Source organism: Homo sapiens, chromosome 15, assembly GCF_000001405.40.
Source record: "Homo sapiens chromosome 15, GRCh38.p14 Primary Assembly".
Taxonomy (NCBI): domain Eukaryota; kingdom Metazoa; phylum Chordata; class Mammalia; order Primates; family Hominidae; genus Homo; species Homo sapiens.
Window position 1 is genome coordinate 98,830,696 of NC_000015.10, and position 23,237 is coordinate 98,853,932.

Sequence of the window (23,237 nt, forward strand, 5' to 3'; positions counted from 1 at the left end):
TGGGTTCAAGCAATTCTCCTGCGTCAGCCTCCCAAGTAGCTAGGATTACAGGTGTGCGCCACCACACCCAGCTAATTTTTGTATTTTTAGTAAAGATGGGGTTTTGCCATGTTGGCCAGGCTGATCTTGAACTCCTGACCTCAGGTGATCCCCCCACCCTGGCTTCCCAAAGTGCTGGGATTACAGGTGTGAACCACCACGCCCGGCCAGGATCTGATCATTTTCTAGGAGGCCTCAGGGAGCTTTTATTCATGGCAGAAGGTGAAGGGGGAGCAGTTGTATCATGGCAAGAAGAGAAAGAGAGACGCCAGATCTCCTGGTAGATAACTAACAGAGTGAGAACTCACTCTTTACTGTGGGGAGGGCACCAAGCCCTTCATAAGGGATCCACCCCATGACCCAAACACCTCCCACCAGGCCCCACCTCCAACAATGGGAATCACATTTCAACATGAGATTTGGAGGGAACAAACATTCAAACTATATCTACGACCAAATTTTCCTAATTCCTTTCTACTTAAATGCTTTCTTTTCCATTTATTTCACCCACATCTGACCCTAGGATTTCAACGTGTTCTAAAATGAATTTCTTGCACCCATTTTCACTTTCTCTCCACCAGAATCCATCTCACCACCCACCTGCCAGTGGCATACTCCTTGCATAGACCCTGCTCTAGCATGAATATAGCCCACTGTTATCTGTTGTAGAACCTCACGCCCAGCTTCCCACCCTGTGTGACATCTTCACCCTCTTGCCCTGGCTTGTGCCATCCACATTCCGATCTTGATGACTCTGGTTCTCTTCTCTTTGACGGTGGAGGGTTGATCCCTTCCTTCCCCATGATCATAAAAGGTCATGCCAACACTCCTAAAACAAAAGATAGATTAATAAGAGAAAAACCTAACAAATTTATTATATGTGTGCATGGGAGTCATACAAAATATGAAAACTCAAGAAAATGGCCAGATGGTTGATCCTTAAATGCTTTATTTATTGGTGAGAAGGTATTGGGGGTGTAGGAGTAAATGATTTTCAGGGAAAATGAATATTTCCCTGAGACAGCAATTTACTTGTAAATGATGCTCTTTAGAATTTGAACACGCTCCAGAGGCAGAAATTGTCTTGTGAAAAAGTCTGTCTGGGTATGGTTGCATTCCTCAGTCTTGAGCTGGTGGATGGCAGGGTGCAATTGCAGGCCGTAGTGTTCCTCTTTGGGGATCTGGTTTCTAGGTGGGTAAGGGAACTTCAGAGAACAGCCTTGTCCTGTGCTTTGCGAGAGACAAAGGATGAGGAAGGGGGGTCAGGGACCTTGAGGCTGCTTCAGCATGTCAAGAGTGCCATGTTTGGGACGCCTCAACACTGGAAATAGCCTTCATTCCTCTGCTTCTTGGGTCTGGATCCTTTTCTTTAGACTCCAAGAAATTCTTCCTTTTGCCCCAAACTCACATTGTTTTTGTCTTCTGTCCCTCTACTTCTATGTAATTCTATTATTATGCACAGATTCTGTGTGCCCAAGGAGACTGTAAACTCCAGGAGGGCAGGAATTATGTCTTAAAACACTAGCGGTTAAACAGTTAAGAGGTGTCTTAAAACATTCCTGTAGCCCCAGCTACACTCTTGGGTGCAGGAATCACAAGTGCCTTATTCCCCACAGGGTCCCCAGCATATTCCAGGAGCTCATTATGTTTTTAAATGAATGACCTACTGAAGGCAAGAGACCAGGAAGGAAAGTTTGTAAAAGTTTACATTATTAGATTACCCCTGAGATGTGTAACCTTCTCACGAGTTAGATTTCTTGAACCACTGCCCGGGTATTGTATTCCTACTCTAGGAGCTTGAAGGATTAATGATAATCCTTTTACAGATATATTCACAAGTTTCTGTGAATGTGAATTAAGTATGTAGATCTTGATTGCCTTTCTTGAGTGCATGGTTTTTTTCTAGAAAAACAAATTTAAGTTAGGTGGGACACCTAATAAAGCTCTAGGCTCCTTTCTTTTCCTCTTTTAAGACACAGTTAATTACCTTATGCTAAGTTGGAATATAGGAATTATCTTCCAAAACTGTGTTTGCTTGCTGTGTCTACATAAAAATTGATACAAGGTATGCCATGGTTTATACAATTTCTGGCACATTTACCTGGTCTCTGTTACAGGTTTGTGAAACCAATTTTTTTATTGTAAATAGTACGTTACCAGCTTAATTGCTTTAGAACCTAGACAGTCTATGTCTGTGATAGTAATTACATTCTTTCATGACTTTGTTTGGTAACCTGAATGTTGAACTAGCTCTACAGATTTAGGTCATGTCTGATGCTAGCCATTCCTAGGAAAAAGTGGTGAGGACTACATTATGGGCCTTTCCCCCTAGACTTAAAACTGTGAAGAAGTCATTTTGGGTTGAGGTATCCCCTGGTACCCTCTCCTGAACTTCAATAGAATAACATGATGTGGTGAATGAACCATATTAGAAAAACCAGCCAATCAGCCAAGATTCTTGTATTGACTCTTCTGATCTCCCTCTACCTCTCCTTTCCCCATCTGCCAAACAAAGGGTTTGGAACAGTTAAATTCTAAAGTGGTGTCATTGATGGCTCTCAGTATTCTGTGGACTTTCCTGGTTGATTCAGTACTTGTGATTGACCTGGACCCCCTGGTTTGGTCCAGCCTTAGAGCGGGTTTGCAGGTAGACACCTTCCTAATGTTTGTTCCACGTAAGCCCCCGGAGCACAGTATTTCCATCAGCTATTTTGTGGAAGTGAGCGATTCTCTTTTGGTTGTAAACCTTCACTATTTCATGTGGGTGACTTGACAATGGCTCCATTTTTGAATGGCCCATTGATAGTTGTAGTCTAAAAATTTCCAGAGATTACACAAGGGTTTATTTAAAGGGAATGGGAATAGGGAGAAGGTATAACCTTTCCAAAACAATCTTTAAGGCAATTATAAGCTGTTAGGAAATGTCATGTAATAATAACACAGATACCCAAGCTTATATCACATAAATCATTCATTTTGCATGTTTTTGACAGGGAGATTTATTTTCCAGGTTAAAAACAAAAAAGAAAAATCTTAAAAGCTTAAGCTTTTATTGTTTGCTTTTTTTATTAAAAAGTAATTTGGAGCCAGTAACTTAACCTGTTTTTCATAAACATGCTATCTAGAGGCAGCCAAAAAAATATTCATGCTTGCATAGTCAGGGTCCTCAAATGAACTTATGTGTTGGATCATGATAACTCTGGTAATTACTCGAATTACCCTTGTTGAGTAATAGTATGGACCCTGAATACAAGGGTTTGATTTATGTGGCCAGCTCTGTGCTGCTGGGTTTATGAGGACTTGCCAGATGTCATCTCCTAATTAAAATCCTTCTTTACCCTTAATATCCTCTCCTCTGTCCCCAAGAAATTAATCCATTCTATTGCTGGAGCATGTAACAGCTGATGTTGAAGTTACAAGTTTACAGCTTGAACTTTGCCTAGACTGTACCTTTTTTGGGAAAGAGTTTGCAAAGCTTTTAAGCCTGACTCTTGTCTTTAGATCACCAGCATCACCATGGTGCCTGGCATCAGTGGAGCCTCAGCAAGTGTTTATGGTGGAAACCTCAGAAGCTGTCACTTTCTCTGGCTGTAACAGTTGTCATCTTTGTTTACAGGGAAAATGCTCTTGAGAAAATGGAGGTCATTAAACACTCCAGCTTCAGCAATATCATCAGAGCTTTCCGTCACGTGAGTTATCTCACCAAAGGGTCAGATTCTGGTAAAAACTCTTGCCTTCACACTTACTTCTGTTTTATTTTGCCTTATTTGACATTTCACCAGAATTGATCCATAGGTTCAATAAGGCTCCATTCTGTTGGGACAAATCAAGCTAGAAAGACACTGAACTCTGGGGGTTACCAGAAATATCTGAAAGCAAAGCAGTGACTGTGAGGTGGGAATCTCTCTGAGAATCCTTTGCAGAACCATGTAACAGCTCTGCATCACTAGACGAGCCAAGCGAAGTGGTCCTGGATGGTTCAGTAGGCTCAAGCATTGAGGGTCCAGAGCATCCTTTGCCCCTGGACATGGAAGGGTTTTCATTGGGAGATGGCATTTAGGGCATCCTTATAAACGAGCAGGAGTAAACCTAGCAATAAAAACCAAACCTCTGCCTTCAGAGGTATATGCTATTACTTCTGCTTAAACCGTTGTCAGAGCTAACAGTTTTGGTTAGGGATTTTTGTGGGTCCAGGGCACGCCCAGACACCCAGATGCTTCTCTATGTTTGTAAGATGGCGAGTGTTGAGATGTCTTATAGGCTTATATTGAGTGAAAAGGAATAGGATCCTTTGTCAGTAGTAACTTAGGCTTTTTAGGTGGCCAGGGCAAGAGAACACCCCCCCTACACACACACACACACACACACACACACACCCCTACACCCACACACACCCACCCCTACACCCACACACACCCACCCCTACACCCACACACCTTCCCACACAAACCTACACCCACACACCTTCCCACACAGACCTACACCCACACACCAGGATTTGAAGGCTCTGCTAAGAGGCTACAACAACTGTAGCATACAACTAGCACACTTGTTGCTATTATGTGTAGGGGACTAGATGGAAAGAGTGCAGATAGGACTACCTACCATTCACCCCTACCAGCGAAGTGGAAGCACTCATCTTCTTTCCCTTCTTACCCTTTCAAAGCAAGTTGTTGAGGGATGAAGAGGAGAGTGACTTTAATCGTGGCTTTAAGTAGAGATTTTCTTTAGGAGTAATTGTTTCTCTCGACAGAGTGGATAGGCTTCCATAGTTGTCTTAATACCTTTTGTCCACCCCAAGGATTGACCCAGGCAAGGAGGATGAACCCTCCTCAATTTGGGAAAGTTAAATTTTAGGCACAGCAGGTCAAAGAGTAGGGAAGAGCTGCAGTTGTTGGAACCAAGTGACATTGATTTAGTCTGGAAAGGAGTCACAGAGGAATCAAAAGCCAGACCCTCCTGGCAGCTTTAGATGTGGTTGGGGTCTGGGAATAATGCTGGTCCCAAAATCACCTCTGGAACTAACTCCTGTAAAATGAAGCCTCTGCATCCTTCAGTAACTTACTTAAAATTTTGTTAGGGCTGCATTTTCTTCAAAGCCAAGTTCTGAATAAGAAGTATTTGTTTTGGGCTCTAGCCAGATTACTGAAGTATTGTTGAGGGAGATTTGCTGTGGAAGGTGTTGGGGGTACAGGGATTGTGAAGATAATGTAAAATATTTAACATTTTAAAAATTTTCAGTAAGTTCTCTTTCCCCAATGTCAGCATGACTTCTTCATTCATGTTCTTCCATCACTCTCCATTCAGTTAGAATCTCAATTGTGTAATATCAGTGGTAGCGACAATTATGAAATTCGTCCAGTGAGGAAAATCCGCAGAGCTAGAGCCCAAACCAGCAACTTTGTAGTGAGGATGACCCCACTGGCCGGGGAGAAACTGAACTGATTTTTTTTTTTCTCTCTCTCTCAGCTTTTTATTTTGAAATAATTTTAGACTTACAAAAAAGTTGAAAAAGCATCCAGGCATGGTGGCTTATACCTATAATCCCAGTGCTCTGGGAAACCAAGACAAATCTCTTAAAGCCAGGAGTTTGAGACCAAGCTGTGAGACTATCTCTACAAAAAAAAAGAAATTAAGTAGCCAGCAGTGGTGGCACGTGGCTGTAGTCTCAGCTACTTGGGAGGCTGAGGTGGGAGGATCGCATGAGCCAGGAGTTCCAGGCTGCAGTGAACTATGATCATGCCACTGCACAACAGTCTTGGAGACAGATTAAGACCCTGTCTCTTTAAAAAAAAAAAAAAAAAAAGTTTGTAAAATATCACCCAGTTTTCCCTAACGTTAGCATTTTACATAATCTATACACCAATTCTCACAGCCAAGAAATTAACAATGACACAATACTGTTAACCATGGACTATTTGAATTTCACCAGTTTTCCCACTAATATCCTTTTTCAGTCCCAACATCCTTCATTGTGTTTACTTACTATATCTAGTCTTCTCCAGTCTGTAAAAATGTGTCTATCTTTGCTTGTTTTTCATGACCTTGATATTTTTGAATAGTATGGACAGGTTGTTGCATAGAATGCTCCAAATTGGTTCTAATGTTTCTCATCATTAAACTCATTTTTATACATTTTGGGGAAGACTACTACAAGATTGACATTGCATCTCAGTGCGTCACATCTGTGTGATGTCAGCATCTTACCACTGATGATCTCTTAGCCTTGAACACTTGATTGAGGTGGTGCCTGCCAGGTTTCTCCAGTGTAAATTTTCTGCTTTTCGCATTGTTACTGATATCTTAGGGCTGATACTCACAGTATGCAGATGTCTCGTTTCTCTTTTTTCATATTTCTTTTCTTTTTTCTTTTTTTGAGACAGTCTTGCTCTGTTGCCCAGGCAGGGGAGTGCAGCCTCAGACTTCTGGGTTTGAGCAATCCTCCCATCTCAGTTTCCCAAGTAGCTAGTGTGCACCATCACTAATTAGTGCCCCACCAGTTTTGTTTGTTTGTTTTTTTGTTTGGGCAGAATCTCGCTCAGTCGCCAGACTGGAGTGCAGTGGCGCAATCTCGGCTCACTGCAACCTCCAACTCCCTGGTTCAAGCAGTTCTCCTGCCTCAGCCTCCTCCCAAGTAGCTGGGATTACAGGCAGGCACCACCACACCCAGCTAATTTTTGTATTTTTAGTAGAGACGGGGTTTCACATGTTGGCCAGGTTGGTCTTGATCTCCTGACCGCCCACCTCGGCCTCCCAGAGTGCTGGGATTACAGGCATGAGCTACCATGCCTGGCCTTCACCAATTTTTAAATTTTTTGTAGAAACTCACTATGTTGCCCAGTCTGGTCTCGAACTCCTGGCCTCCCACCTCAGCCTCCCAACCACAACTGGCCAAGGTCCTGTTTCTCATCACATTGTCACTCACTGATCTTGTCATGCTTTGGTGGAGCTTATCTACAATAATTATTACTGCCATGCTTTAATGGCAATTTTCTATCTTATTGTCATTTATTCATTGGAATTTTTACATAGGAAAGACCTGCTCCTTCTCAAACTCTAAACAGTTTCATTCACCATACTTTTCTCCAGGTAACTTTCTGGGTGGCTGAAAGTGACTTTCAAAGAATGGAGATATCTTTTCAATGTTGAGAGAGTGGCAGTCTGCTGGTTCCCAAGATGCCTTCTTCACCTAGCATTGAGACTCTGCAGAATGCCTTGACCACAGTTGTGATTTGGATCTGTTGGCTTGCAAAGCCCATTTGAGAATTTACAAAATCATTTTCACGGCCTGAGAGTCTTTTAGGTACTGATTTTTTTCATCCCTTCTTTACTAACAGACTTTATTTAGTAGAGTATTATTGGACAGGTTTGGGGTTCACCTTTATGAGAAAAAACTTAGATTTTCTAATTTCAGCTTTTTTATTTTCTTCCATCAGTGGGACAAAGTTGACATCATTGCCTAAAAGTAATTTCTGTGATTATCTGTGTATTTCAGTTAACCATGTTCTTTGGACTCACTGTGGTCTTCAGCAGGGATGGTGGCCAAACTATGTTTAGAAAGATAAAAATTAAAATGACATCTGCATCCTTCATGTAAACCCATAAAAAATAGCACGTGACCCTGAAGATCCTCTGCCTCTCATTCCAGGCATTACAATTGAAAATGCTATCTGGGATGTTAAAAACTAAAACTATTCTAGGACTTAGTGGAATATTGATAGTTAGGGAATGCTGTTTGCTTTCTTGAATTTTGAACCTGTTATTGAGAAGGTAGATGCGCCTGTTTACCCCAGGAAGGCTCCTCTTTGAAGACAGTGCCCCTGGAGCACATGACCTTTTCATGCCCTTGCCTGTCAAGACTTTTCCAGTACTCTAAGGTCAAAGGGCGTTGGGCCAGGCTGATCTAATCAGGGTATTAACCTTGCCCCACTCATCTTGATTTATTCCTAGATCCCAGTTCCCAGAGCATCCCTTTAGAGCCTCAGAAATGGAACACAAGACAGCTGAAATAAGCCCGTGGCCAAAAGGCACTCTGAGCATGAGGGAAGTAAGCAGGCTTCCCTGTCACTGCTGAGGCTCTGTCATCCAGCCCCAGCTGTCCTCTTGTGATCACTCAGCAGACCCGGGAAAAATTCAAGAATTTGTTTTTTAGTGTCAGTGGGAGACGTGGGGATCCTGCTTTTGCTGGGAGAGCTTCAGTTGTCTGAGTCCCCACTCAACCCCAGGCTCCTGCCAAGGCCACCAAGGGCAGGAGCACTGGAAGGCTGACTATGGAGTGAAGAGGCCACTGGGTTTCACAAACAGCACTGTCAGCCAAAGCTGTAGCTTGTTAGCCATCCAAAAGAATCTTGCACCTGCTGCCAGTGAGCTTACACCTAGATGACAGCTGGAGCTGACACTCATTCAGCCCTTACTCTATGCCAGGTACTATTCTAAACACTTGCCATATACTCAGTTGTCCCACAGATACAACTATTTATCCCCACTTTAGAGACAAAAAATTGAGGCACAGAAAGGTTAAGTAATTTGGCCAAGGAAGTGCAGCTAGTAAATGGCAGACCTGGGGTTTGAACCGAAATCAGTGTGACTCTAGAGTACCTACTCTTAGACCCTACTCTCTACTGCCTCTCATTAGAAGTCTCCCCCACCTCCCTACCACCACCATCACCACCCACCCTCCCAGCCACATATATGCTCACACTGGGTGGTTCAGATGGCTAGAAGTGGCAGCTCAACCTTGTGTGCCTCGGACACGAAAATATTAGGTTCAGACACCACTCAGACTTCACATTTTCATTAGTTTTGGGTAGAGGAATGAGAATAAATATTCAGCGAGACAGCCTTTTCTAACTGCAAGATTGCATTCCTCTTCTTTCTAGATGCAGTGGCAAGAACAGTACCCTGGATGGTGGAGCTGGTAGTGGTAGATGAGATAGAGCAGTCCCTTGATTCTGCTTTGTCCCCATTAATGACAGATCTGAGGGCATCCAGAAGGAATCTCCACAAGCCCAGCCTCCACAGTGGCTGCTTCCTCTACATGGTAGAGTGGTGCTCACCTCCACTCCTCCATAGATGCCAAGTCATCTGTGGTATAGATGTGGATGTCTTTGTTCAAATGGTCCTTGAGTCTTTGCTCAGATGATCCTTGGTTCTTCATTTCACCTGGGAAAGAAAATAATTTGCCTGTTGTCATTTTATCCATAATATTAAGAAAACTTAATGGCACAATCTAAGCTTTTTACCATGTTATTTATCATGGGATTACTTTTTTCAGGTGTCTTCTGAACACGCAGTTGTCCCACCAAACTTTGACACTGCCCTTGTGATTAATTTTTGCCTACATTAATCACTCTCCCTTGTTTTAATTGCACATTACATTCTTTTCTGTCCTTCCCGGACATCTTTGCTAGCACAGTGAGTGCAGGGAGGACTGTCACGGACTCTCTCCCCTCTTGAATGGGGGCATTCCAGCAGAGTGTGTTACATGAGCTCAGAGCACATGATGTGAGAGCCTCGTGATGAAAGATACTGCAAAAACAGTGCGCACTGTTATCAAACCTGACTGCCTTCACATCTTGCTTTCTGTGGTGCAAAATAAGGTTTTTATAGTGTCCTGTTTCTTCTGTTATCATCTAAACCAATGGGGAACGGTGAGTAAGTAGTAATCTTCAGAAAAGAAGAAAAGACAGGGAGGAGAAAGTGTACTGGAGGCCTGCTTTACCATTAAGTTGTTAAGATGGAGTCTCACTCTGTCACCCCGGCTGGAGCGCAGTAGTGCAGTCGTGGCTCACTGCAACCTCCAACTCCTGGGTTCATGCAGTCCTCCTGCCTCAGCCTCCCAAGTGGCTGGGGACTACAGGTGTATGCCACCACAACTGGCTAATTATTTATAGAGATGGGGTCTCATTTTGTTGTCCAGGCGGGGTTTTTGTTTTTTGTTTTGTTTTTTTTTTTTTTTTGAGGTGGAGTCTTGCTCTGTCACCGAGGTTGGAGTGCAGTGGTGCAATCTCAGCTCACTGCAGCCTCTCCCTCCCAGGTTCCAGCAATTCTCCTGCCTCAACCTCCCGAGTAGACTAGCTGGGATTACAGCTGCGTGCCACCACGCCTGGCTAACTTTTGTATTTTTAGTAGAGACGGGGTTTCACCATGTTGGCCAGGCTGGTCTCAAACTCCTGACCTCAGGTGATCCGCCCGCCTCGGCCTCCCAAAGTGCTGGGATTACAGGCGTGAGACACTGCGCCTGGCCGTCCAGGCTGGTCTTGACTTCCTTTCGCTTGTAGCCTCCCGAAGTGCTGGAATTACAGGCGTGAGCCACCGCATCTGGTCTCTAAGTTTTTTTTGAAAGTGTGTGTGTATGTGTTGAAAAACAATCTTACTGCCATCATATTGAAGTTACCTAGTGCATTTCTTCTTCAGGGTACGAAGAAAAAAGAAAAGTATGTCCTGTGGTTGATAGAAATCAGTAAAATGGAGCCCTGTACGAGGAAGTGCTGATGAGACTCCAACTAACTCCATGGAGATGAGCTACAAAAAAAAATACTGATTGGGTTCAAATCCTTGGCCTGCCATTTACTGGCTGTGCTTCCTTGGTCAAATTACTTAACCTCTCTATGCCTCAATGTTCTCATCTCTAAAGTATGGAAAATAATTGCATCTGTGTGAAAACTGAGTTACTATACGTAAAGTTTTTAGAATAGTACCTGACATACAGTAAGTGCTGAATAAGTATCAGCTAGAGAGAGAGAGAGTTAGTTTCCAGCAGCCTGTTTCTGTTTGGGGTCACATGTGGTCTCTGTCCACCTGGCTTTTTAGGCCTCTCTTACCTGTTCCCTGTTTATCCTTGCCTGCCCCAGGGAGGAGTTTGAGTTGGTACATCCTGACTGGGTACTCTGCCTGTGGTTAGCAAATACTCTGCATGTTGAGTGCTTTCAAAATACAGAAACAAACAACTTGTGGAGGCATTGGAAAAGTGTGTTTGAGAAACAAGCAGCCTCACCATGAATGGGAGTTTGTTTCCCTTTCTCGTCTTTCTGGTCATCTGCTGCACGGGCAGGAGGAGCTGTGGGTTGCTTTTCTTCCTTGGAACATGGAGCACCACTCTCCCCTGTGCTGATACACTTACAAAGAAGTTCACCTACTCCTTGGAAAGTTCTGGAAAAGGGGCTTCTACACTGTTGGCCTCTCGAGGAGAACGGTTTTTGTTTCTGTCTTCCTGGAAAAGAGGTGACTGCTGGCATCATCTTTCTAGATAAACTCCTTGCTATGATGCCATTAGAAGCAGTGTTCTTTTGTGTTTTGCTTTTGTTTTTCCCTGTAGACAGGAATAACATTTTGACTAGAAACTTCCCTGATGTAATAACGAAGATGGCCTCCTTAGAAAGTTCCAGAACAGACCCCTTCACCTCTGTCCCCAGAAGCAGAAGTAGGTGATGCACTTTCTTGGCAAGCCACATAACTACCATTTCTCTACAATCGAAGCTCAAAAATCTGTGCTTGTATACGTTCATTTTTTGTTTTTACTTCTTTACTTCCTTTGATAAGACAGAAACTTCTGTATTAAAACTGATTTAACTCTGAGGGGCTAAGTGAACAACAATCTGTTGTCCTATAGAGGTCAAGGCAGTGCTCACAACAGGATCATTGTGCTGCTGTAGTTCAGTTTAGGGGACGGGGAATGTTTATAAAAACAAAGTTTTGAAATGAGGACAGGGAAAGGCTTTGTTTACCTGGGGCTCTAGACTTAAGGTACTCATTTTGCCTGCAGAATAATGAAATGCAGAGTTGTAATTAGAAAAGGTTGATGTAATTGATGTGTTAACAATTTTTGAGGTTTTTCTCTTTCCACTTTAGGACAGTCATGCAATTATTTTTCTGAACCAAAATCAGAACCATCAGTCGAAGGCTAAAACAGGCCTGGGGAAACACTGTCTTTTGGCAAAGAAAGACAAAGATCCTTGTTCTCTAGGCCAGTGTGCATATGTGTGTAATGCTTTAAAGAACAATTTTGACAAGAACTCTTAGGATGCAACTTGTAGAGTGATTTTTAAGGAGATGCAGTAGGATTTGTGCAAGTATTCTGCTATGAGCCTAAGATTTTCAACATGGAAATCTAGCCATGCAGTGACTCGTTCACTTTGGCAGTGTCTATCTTAGTCTGGGGGTGAGCGTTTGTAGAAAATATTTAGAGACTCAAGTACACTCATTTGAATTTTTGCTGTTAGCAAATAAATGGCAATATGTGTAACGTGGTGAATGGGATGTAAAGCTGTCTTTATATTACCACGGTTAGAATTTAATTTTGAAAGTTGCAAGTCAAACTGCTTCCTCTTGCGTCATTAAGTTGTGCCTCTTGTTTGCTCACCGGCATGTGTGTCCTTGTGTCATTTTGGTTGCTGTGAAATTGCTCTTACCATTCTTTCATCCTTCAACCTGCTGTGCTACAATCCTAACATGCTGTTTTTGTTGAAAATGCATTCACTCTTTTTGGCATCTTTTTTCCCCAGAAAGTTAGAATATTGGGAATTCATTGGTATTAGTGAAATTCCCACCTAATGCAGCAGTTTTTTTCTCTTACCTGCATAATAGACGCAGAACAAATTAACTCTAAACGGATTAGAGCTGTCAACTGACAGATACTGTGCGAGATACTGAGGAAGCCTCAGAGATGATACCAATAAACAGGACAGGGCCTTCTGGTCGTGTTTCTACTTCTCTTATTGGTTTGTCTTAGCAATTTTGAATTGCACTGAAAACGAAATTTCATAGGTACACGATACAGTAGTTAGTTTTAAAAGTTTTTAAAATATTAAAAAATTGAAAGTATTTAAAATATTTTTAAAATATTTTAAAATCTGCTGTGTGAGATAGATAGGAGACCTAGCTTTTCTTCCTTCTTACCTTGATCCATAGAGAAAGCAACCCTGAAAGAAGAAAAACTCACCCATTTGAGCTTTCTTTTGTTTCCACTGAGCAATACGGAAGAAATTCACCGCTGGTTATAGGTCTTCAGTGCTTTCTTCAGAGTGGGATTGTTTTTTGTTTCACCATAAGTAGTAGTCTATTAAATTAACAGTTGCTAGAGAAGAAGCTGCATCTATATATGCAGTTCTCTTCTTGTCAAGCAGTATATTTTCACGATAGCAATGAAAAAATTCCATCCTCACCAGCCGCTGAAACATAGTAATACTGCAGAAATTCCTGTGAACTATGCGTTTGCTGCTTCCTTTTGTTTGTTTGTTTTCAGAGCAGATGGGCTTGTTTGCTTTTTGCTTAAACATTAATCAAAAATCAATTTATGGCTATGTAAGTGGCATTAGATAATTCTCATTCTGACTACAGTAAATAATATCTATTTGTTCATGTTAGATAAGTCTGGGCGGCAGTGGAATGTAAAATAGAATTACATGAGATATGACATATGGCTATGTGTTTTATAAATTAATGCTTTTATGCATGTGGGAGGAGAAGTAATTTAGCTTACTGACAAAAAGAAAAGCAAAGGAAATTCCAGAGAAAGAACAGGATACCAAGTCTAAATAAATTTGGAAGACAAAGAGAATATCATAGTTTAGTTCAATCTTTTAAACAAATTGTCACAATTTATACGTTGGGATAAGAGAACCATGAGAAAAGGTATATTCTAAGTCCTGAACATCTTTCTATACCCTGAAGATGTTTTTATAGCTCTTCTGCTGACTCCCTGCCAAAAAAACTATTTACGGTTTGGGGTAGGGGGCGTGTCATGCCATACAGCTAAATACACTTTTTTCCTAATCTAGGAGGCATGTCTACTTACAAATAAATTGCTTAAACTAGTTAGGCTTGTGTAAATGTAACTGACATTTCCTTGAGATCAGAAAAAGTTTTGCTGATTAACTATATTTGTGTGTGTGTGTGTGTGTGTGTATTTAGAGAGAAGGAGGGATTTTATAATTATTACAATTTGATTTGAAATGTCTAGAGAAAGTGAGAGATTATGGAAATTACCATAAATGCTCCCTTTTTCATAGATTTAGATCTGTTAATTGCAAGAAATCTTTTTTTAAGTGAATCAATGGGAACTTTTTATTTCTTCCCTAAGATTCATTTAGCCTTGAAAAGGCCAAAAGTTGAATGAAGCTTCTAAATGCCAATCTTTCCCTCCTTCTGTTAAAGAGTATGCTTCAACTATAATTACATTTGCATTGTTTAAAATATTAGTAATTCTACAGCCAGACCTCTGAGATAGCTGAGAAACCAAAAAGTGAAGTTCAAAGACATCATCAGGCACCCTCTCCACACACAACATACCAGGCCCACCAAGGAGTTTACATGAGTGTTTTTGCCTTGTTAGCCGTGGAACGACCTGGGCAGTACCCAAAACTTAGCAAACTCTTCTTGTACCTTGTATTCAGTAGACGGTCAGTAGCACCGAGAGTAGGGAGAAGAGTAAATATGTTTCTAATACTTTATTCAATGTATGTTGTTAACAGTGTAGACACTCTGACTTTCCTTGTGAATTGCGCCTCAGTATTTAGTTTTCATTTACCCTGGATCAGATAGGGCATGATAACCTTTGAGGGGCTTTGTGCATATGTAATTTGGAATCTGAGTCAGTCGGGCTGTGTCTCTCCCAACTTCCCTTCTCATATTCTTCTCTCTCCTCCTCCTCCCCTCCCTCCTCCTCGCCTCCCTCCTCCTCCCCCTCCCTCTTCCTCCCCTCCCTCCTCCTCCTCCCCTCCTTCCTTCTCCTGCCCCCTCCTCCTCCCTCCTCCTCCTTCCTTCTCCTCCTCCCTCCTCCTCCTTCCTCCTCCCCCTCCTTCCTCCTCCTCCCCCTCCTCTCTCCTCTTCTCTCGTTTCTCTTCTCTCTCTTCTTTCTCTCTTCTCTCTCTACCATTGCTGTCAGTTGAGATGGGCCTGTGCGGCACTTTGTTTGCAGTTGATTGGCAATCTTCTGTTCTACTACTGCATCTGAATCATCACTTGCTTCCACCAGTTCTCTGAATGTCTTACCTAGTGATCCTGGTGGGGAAATTACAGTGATTAGTGTTCCAATTCTTGTTTGCCCATAAGTGTTTCAAAGTAGTATTTTTAAAAACTCTTCTAAGACATTCTCTCTTCTCATAGTAGATGCAGTGAATCTTAAAGGTGCCCTAACTAAAATTTTTGTGCTATAAAATTGGCAGCTTTACAAAATAAAAGGTTCGAGATATGAGCCTGATCAAGGCTCTGCATTTGCAACAATATCCTTGGTTTGCCTGGCCCTGTTATATTTTGCTGTTGTGATATGACTCCTGCCAGTGCTATTTCCATTTAACCTTTGTTTTTCTAAAAGACAGTAATAATTTTTCATTTCTAGGGAGTCTCTGACATCAGCTAAAGGAAAGACACTTTTCTTTGACTGTATATACATTTCTCCCCATTTCATTAATATCAAAGTTGCTCTTTCAAATGGCTTATAAAATTTTAAAATTACACCAGTTGCATAAGCCTGCATAAAAAGCAGACTCCTACATAAGCTGACAATGCATTTGTACCGTGGTGTTGAGCAGTTTTAACATCCTCCGTGCCTCTGTGCTTCTGCTAGCTACTGCTCTGATAAAGTTATCAAGGTATCATTGGATGCATTGACCAGGATGAAGACACAACAGTATGGCCTTATTAAATTTGGAAATAATGAACAGACGAGTAGAGAATTTAGGAGCAATATAGGCAAGCTTAATAGGTCTTTACTTTGGGGCCTGTAACTCCAACTACATATGGAAGAATTTAAGTACAGGAAAAGTTAAGCTCTTTTCCCAGTAGTTCTGCTGACAAGTTGGGTGACTTCGGGATGGTTACCTCTTCATGATACCACACGGTGATGGTAACAGAGGCACTGTCCAGTCTCTGGTTCATGCACACTGGTCTTCTCAGGGGTCCCTGTATAGGTGACACAGTGGAGAACAGGGCAGTACTGCCAGACTCAGGGACCCAGTTCATCGAGAGGGGCAGTGTTTCTCTTATGCTGCCTTAAAGGCATTGGATGCCTTTTGGAAAGCCAGTGGACAACTCCTGCATCCACCCAAGATTAATGTTAACAGCTTAAAGAATCATTGCAATCAAGGGAAATTTTGCAACACTTTGTTGGGATATTTTTAAATAAATGTGTGAACACCTTGTTTTAGGCTTGCTGAAAATGACCCAGGAATTCCTTGACCCGGGAATATAGTGTATGGCTGCCAATTATTATATTCCTTCATCAGACAAAGGCGGAACAGTTCACTCTTTTTCTTTTTTTTGGACACAAATTCTCACTCCCTCACCCAGGTCAGAGTGCAGTAGCATGATCTCGGCTCACTGCAACCTCTACCTCCTGGGTTCAAGTGATTCTCATCCCTCAGTTTCCCAAGTAGCTGGGATTTCAGGCACGTACCACCATGCCTGGCTATTATTTGCATTTTTAGTAAAGACAGGGTTTTACCATGTTGGCTAGGCTGGTCTCGAACTCCTGACCTCAAGTGATCCTTCTGCCTTGGACTCCCAAAGTGCTGGGATTAAGGTATGAGCCACCTTGCCCGGCTACCGGACAGTCCACTCTTTACAGGGGGGCGTCTTGGTATAAGTATGGAAAGCTCCGTAGATGCCGTGTCAGTCCATACCCTCACCACCTTCTTGACCCTGTGCCGATAAACTAAGAGATGTGGGCAGTGTACCATCTGGAAAGGAAAAGGCTTTGGAGCCAGGTAGTCCTGCCTGCATTTGAATCTGCTTTCTACCACTTACTTACATCAGGTTTTCCTTGTCTATAAAATGGAAGTCCTTGTACCCACCACCTAGAATGGAAGTGAGGATTAATCCAGACCAACGATGAAGAGTCCAGCATGCAGGAAATGCTCGTTTATAACCATGGAAGTTTCGAGGACTTTTGAAATTCGATGACATTAACCTTTGAGGTGCATTTTAGTTGGCTTGTGTGATGAGGCCTTTCTACTTCTAGTTCCAGAATCGTCTGGATCTACATTATGTGGGAATGTTTATTCCCCCCTTTACTTTCCCAAAATTTGCTAAACATTTTCATTGCTATTTGAGTTTTTTAGGAGACATACTGAGATGAAGTTAGGGATGTGAAAGGTTTACTGAGGATAACACCAATGAAAGGAAGAGAGGAGGAAGATGATGGGTGTGGGGAGCGGTTTGACCAGGACTCTGATAGGACAGACACTCTGCCAGCCCTCCGGGAGCTCATTTGCAGAGCCCCCTGTTAGATGGATATAACCGGGCCCTGGGACCATTGCTGGGCTCAGTTACTGGCCAGGAGCTGCCTAGGAAGAGTGTGACCTAGGCCAAAAGTTGAAGTGGACCCTAGAAGAGCTAGCAGCTGGAGGGCATCTGCTAGTGACACTCTGGAGCTGGACAGCAAGTCCTTTCTGAAAGAGGATCTGAGCTGAGTATCCCTGTGGTCCAGTATTTCAAGTTGGAACCTCTAGGTTTGAAAAATACATGTTTTGGGTGAGAGTTTGATTATTCTTAAAGGGACATATCTTTCAAACATATGGCTGTGGAAGAGGAAACTTGTTTTTGACTTGTAAAATACCAGCAGAGCCTTGCAGTGATCACAACTTATGTGAAATACAGACCATCACCCACAGTTTACGTGTTCACACTAAAGTGCCAGTCTCTCTATGGGTTTTAGAGCTGATTTAGATACATGCATTGCTAATACAGTCAGCCCAGCCAAGATAGTGCCATCCTCCGCAAGCATCCACTAAGGCATGGAGTCAGCTTCCGTCATTGTTAGATCAGTACTTGTTTCTTTCCCTTGCTTATTTTTCCTAACCTCTCTGAACCTGCTGTGTTGGAAGCTTAAGGAACATCATCCTCTGTTGGGCAGAATTCTTCCATGGCCACCCCAGCATTATGCCCCACACCATTTGACTTACTCATTTGTGAATGCCAACTCAGAATGTATTGCTTTGATTCTTGATTAGGATCTCAACCTCTATTTATTGTTAAGACTATCACCCTTTGATTCCCCCCCATCCCATTGTGTCCTTCTAAAGGCACAGAATAGAACATCTTCTGCCAGAAATAACATACAAATTTATCATCATACAACTGTACAATATGCAAATAACTTGCTAGATGATATTACTGAAGATTCTACATCCAATTAAAATAAAAAGAGAAAACACCTTAAGATAACCATACTATTAAAAGATACAGAAGACAACTGGAATAAATGGAAAGACATACCACATTTATTAGACAGGAATAATCATCATTAGCAAGATGGCAAGATGTCAGTTCTCCGTAAGTTTTTCAATTTAATATAAATCCAAATACAACAGATTTTTTTCTTTTAGTTAGATTCTGAGGTTATCATTAAAACAAAAACAAACAAACAAAAAACTGAACAAGAGCAAGGAGTCCTTACCAGGTATTAAAAACTTCCATAGTGCCTAAATAATTAAAATAGTGAGATACCAATAGATGAAGAGACAGACCAATGGAACAGAATAGAAAGTCCAAATGTAGATGCAAGTACCTGTGGAAATTTAGTTATTCGATAAAGGTAGCTTCACAAATCATTGGGACTAAGATAAACTCTTGATTTACTGGATTGGGGCATGTAAATTATGGCCCAATCATGCCATGTTTCTTTTCTCTGGAAAAGAAAGTAAATTAGGTTCATACATTATACCATGTACCAGGCTAGACTCCAAGTGAATCCAAGGTAAAAGTGTAAACAAAACTATGAAAGTCCTGGAAGAACACATAGCGAGTTCCTTTTTATAACCTTGGAGCAGAGAAAGCCTTTCTAGTTTCAACTCAAAATCCAGAAGCCAGAAAAGAAAACATTCATAAAAATTGAATTTAAATTACAAAAAAACTTTCTGCATGGCCAAAAACCATAAGCAAAGACAGATGCCAAACTGAGAAAAATATCTGAAACTTCTATCACAAAGAGCTAATCTCCCTTGTTTAAAAAAACAAAGTAAAACAGAGCTCCTAGAAATTGTTAAGGAAGAGGCTAACAGTTCAATAGGATTTGGGATGAAGTATTGAACAGATAGCTCACAGAAGAAGAAACACAAATAGCTAAGCATAGAAAAAAAGTTTGATTTCACTCATACGAGAAATGCAAATTAAAACTACACCAAGATACCATTTTTTCACTTCTCATATTGGAAAAAATCCAAAATATTTGATAACACACTCTTTGGAAAACAACCCCACATGGCTGGGAGGACGGCAGAATAGCACATCTATAGAGGAGAATTTGGCAATATCTCTCAGGTTATAAACACGTATTCTTTGACCCACCAATCTTAGAGGGGGCATTTACCCCATAGACTTGCACACATGTGAAATGACAGTTGTGCAGTTGTTCATTGTAGTGTTTCAAATGGCAAAAGATGAAAATGTCCCCCAAATTCCATCACTGAGGGAATAAGTAAGTTAGGGTGATAGCTCCCAAGCTTATTTTCTCTTCAGAATCACCTCATGAAGAAAATGAAGGTCTGTGTGATAGTAGCTGGCAGGTGGGCATGGTGGTGAGGGTGGTGTTTGAGCGGAGACCTGAATGAAGGTTGAGAAGGAGCCAGCCACTCACAGACACAGAGGAGGCCTTCAGGCTGAGAGAGCAGAGAAGGACCCTGTGGCAGAGACAAGCTGGAAACAGCACTGCTTCCATGGTCTGGAGACTGGAATATGTGGGTTCTGCAGACACCTGGGGGGGGCACCACCTGGTAAATCTGCCTTTCAGCTCTTGGTTCTTCCAGCAAACCATGCCAGCTGTGGCTCTGTAGCCATGTCCTCGGAAGATGGCAGAGGTTGCAACGAGGCCTCTCTGAGGTGCTCTGGGAGCACAGAGGAGTCAGGTGGAACTTGTGGCATGTTGCCAAGGGAAGAAGTGATTTTTAGACAGAATAGGAATTTGCCAAGAAGAGAAGTCAGAAAAGCATAACTGGCAGAGGAAGCAGCATACGTTACAAGTAACTGCATGTGTACAGGGAATCACTGAGTGATGGACAAGGGCTTGGCACTTGGTGGGGGGGGGTACCATGTTAACATGTTAGCAAGAAACTAGGTAGGGGTACTTGACTTGGGGGCAGCAGAAGCAGGTGTGAGTGTTGGACAAGACGAGAACTGAGTGCTGCAAATGTTTGGCAAGACTTGATTGAGTGCATATTGTGGACCTGTGTCTCCACTGGAGACACAAATTAGAATATAACACCTTGCCCTGGTATGCTCAGGGTCTACTGAGGTGGAGAAACCTGCAAGTAGAGTCGGAGTACAGTGTTGAAAACACCATCTGCAACCTTAACACAGTGCTACCAAAACCGATTTCGGAGCACTCCTGCAGGAAGTGGGCTGGCCAGGGCAAGGGAAGCCGTGGAGAACAGTGGCCTCTCCCGGGCAGGCAGGGTAAGGCCTAGAAAGAATAAGCTGAGTGAAGGTTTGTGTGTGGCCCATCCAGGGACCTGCGACAGGAACACAGCGGCTGAGGAACGGATGCTTGGAGAGGAGGGGGTGCTTTACATGCCAGGCGGGCAGGGCCGGGGTGGGGCCAGATGCTGGAGGAGAGGGCTGGCCAAGGGGTGGCAGAGAGGCCCCCCAGGTGGCAAGTTTGCACCCTGTTGCTTCCTGCAAGGAGCTTTTGTTTACGTTTTCAGCTTGGACAGTCTGGCTGTCTGGCCAAGAGTGACAACGTGACTTACCATCAGAGCGAAGCACCAAAGAGCACATAAATGAAGTGGAGATCCCTCCTGTGTCCAGCCTCCCCCTCCCCGTGGCCTTCTCCTACCTTCCCAGTCCTCCATCAGTACCCCGGGGCCTTGCCAGAATCTCAGAAAGAATCTCTGGACTCTGGCTCAGGACCTCTGAGGTGATTATGCATCTAGAGGCATCCCCAGGTGCTGCCCAATTTGGGGAAGCAGCACTTCCCGCTGGAAGCTGGGAAGTTTCCCCTGGCTGGGGGTCCTGTGAGGATGGAGAGGCCAGAATGAGGAATGGGTTGTGAGTCAAGACCAACCAGAAGGGGACTTAGCAATGTCAGATGATAGCCTGGGTGAACTACATCCTGTGTGGAAAAGGCAAGGTGTAACTGCTTATTTCTTGTCAAGTGAGCCTAATATCATCATGTTTCTTTTTATGCCTGCTCCCAAACTCAGCCCCTCCCAGTGAGATCACAGCTCCAGGAACTTGCAAGGAAAGGGACTAACGGGGCATCTGATTCACCCGTGTGCCCTTAATGGCGTATTGTGTGAATAAAGCAACAATTTTTAGTACAGGGATTTAAAACAACTTCTGCAAAGACAGAACTAAAAATTAATCTTAAAAGGTGGAGGGTTGGGGTGGAGGGCAGGAAAGAGGAGGAACTAAATTGCCATTCTCTTTGGAGACTTTCTAAAACCTAAGACGAAGAAGAGGAGCCGAATTATGGAAACAAAACCTTTGCGGTTTTCCACAGAACAAAAATGATGTGAAGCTGCAAGTCAGCAGTTCTGGCGCAGGGGCTCCGGGGGACGCCCGCTCCGCCGGCTGTGGTGTGCGCCCTTCCTGCTCTCCCCTCCGAGGGGCTGAGGCTCCTTTTGTCTGGCGCGCGCGCCCCACCCCGCCCCGGGTGAGGGAAGAGGGAGCGGGCACCCCGCGCCCGCGCCGCCGCCGTGGACCAAGGTTGTTTACTACTTTCCACTCCGAATAACACGCCAATCACCAGGGCCCACCCTCCCCGCCGGCCAATCGCTGCGTTGGGAAATTCCACCTTTCCGCGGGGCCCGGGCAGCGACTGGCTGGAGTGTCTGTCAGTCAAGTGGGCATCCCGCAAGGATGCAGCAGGAGTATTAGGGAGGCGATCACCAGAGCAGAGGAGGAGTAACCTTCCCCATAAACAAGATGTGTTCCCCCCACTAAGAAAGCGGGTGGAGGGTGGAGGAGCCAAAACACATCCCAGCCCCGGGGCCCCACCGGAGCGAAGCGGGCCGAGCGCAGAGTGCAGAGTCGGGGAATCCCTCCCTCCGCCTCCCGCCGTCGCTGCAGTTGTAAACACGTTTCCCTCCATGTCTGTTTTCCCTTCTCTCTCACCGTGGCCATTACGGGCTGCTGTTTACAAAAATCCTGCAGGCCTTTGACACCCCGTCCTCCCTTCCCCCGGCATCCCTGCCCTTATTCTGGCTTTCTTCTCTTCCATCTCCTGGTGAGCACAGCATACTGTTCTCAGGCTTGTTTTCCTTTTATTGCTCTCCATGTGGGACAGGTCATGCTTTATCAACATGTACCATTTTCTACAAATGCCGCCCTTCCTCTTTAAATTGCTTGGATGGGCAGATCGATTTTGATTAGCAACACTGCAGCAGAAACAAGGTGCATCTCTGGAAGGACTGGGTGGTTTTCTCGTTATTGTTGCTGGTTTGGGTCACATCGGATGCTATTTTAAATTCTGTGTTTTATTCCACGATGGGTCTTGAATCCTTTCCCTATTCCTAGGTTTGAAATATGTTTCCTCCCTTTAAAAAAAAGAAGGGGGGCAGTATTGTGTTGAACCAAATGTTTTTCTACCTTCTCCTGTGATCTGAATCAGGTTTCCCATTTCCAGCAGTACAATGTGGTTGTATTCAGTGTGATAGGGGCGTAGTGGACATGAATTATTTGCGACAGGGCTGCCTGGAAGATGCGGAGCGGAGTTTGCGTGGCCCGGAGCAGCTCCAGTGTCTGAGGCTTCTCTGTGTCACAGGCTCCAAGCAGGAAGCGCAGGCAAAATGGCAAAATACAGCATGTGGCATTCAGTTCAAAAATGCCCTTTTTTAGAAGTCGGTATTCTAAATGACATCCAGTCTTGCTTAGTTTTTTAAGAGAAAGGAAAAATAATCTATGAAGATGGTTTGGAATATTTTGTGAAAAGCCTTTTCAGCATAAAAAAGATGATCTTGAGGGTCTGGTTTGCGGAGTGGAGGATAAGCCTCCCTCCTGCGATTCTGAATTGCTTTTTGGTTTGTAGGAATTTCAGGAACATGTTGCAAAGCCGTGGCCGCTTGAAAGGGTCGGTGCCCTGCGCCCCGTCTCAGCCCCTGCGGCCCCTGAACTTTTTCAGTGATGGGGCACTTGGGGAGAAGTGCGGGGAGTGGAGGAGGAGGGGAAGGTGCATTGCAAATAGAAATGTAAGGCGTGGCCTGGGTGGCCAGGATGTGCCAGAGCAGCCTCCAGACCTACTTAAATCCCAGGAAAAGTCCTGCCTC

General features: G+C 43.5%; 1 protein-coding gene and 1 long non-coding RNA gene across 8 annotated transcripts in view, besides 2 other annotated features; one reads left to right on the top strand and one right to left on the bottom strand.

The window, feature by feature from the left end:
• The window catches only part of IGF1R (insulin like growth factor 1 receptor), a 315,992-nt gene that overhangs the window by 182,157 nt on the left and 110,598 nt on the right, over positions 1 to 23,237 (top strand). The window lies entirely within an intron of this gene.
• On the bottom strand, positions 972 to 21,568 carry LOC124903561 (uncharacterized). Its single transcript, XR_007064773.1, has 2 exons — positions 9,305 to 21,568; positions 972 to 9,201 (listed from the first exon to the last, which is right to left on the bottom strand). It is a non-coding gene; the product is annotated as an uncharacterized LOC124903561 (long non-coding RNA).
• Positions 21,459 to 21,628: a silencer, noted in NCBI's record as "silent region_6858". NCBI's record gives its function as "represses an Ori minimal core promoter by ATAC-STARR-seq in GM12878 lymphoblastoid cells {active_cell/tissue: GM12878}" and the evidence as "EXISTENCE:reporter gene assay evidence [ECO:0000049][PMID:35858748]".
• Positions 22,069 to 22,118: an enhancer, noted in NCBI's record as "active region_10141". NCBI's record gives its function as "activates an Ori minimal core promoter by ATAC-STARR-seq in GM12878 lymphoblastoid cells {active_cell/tissue: GM12878}" and the evidence as "EXISTENCE:reporter gene assay evidence [ECO:0000049][PMID:35858748]".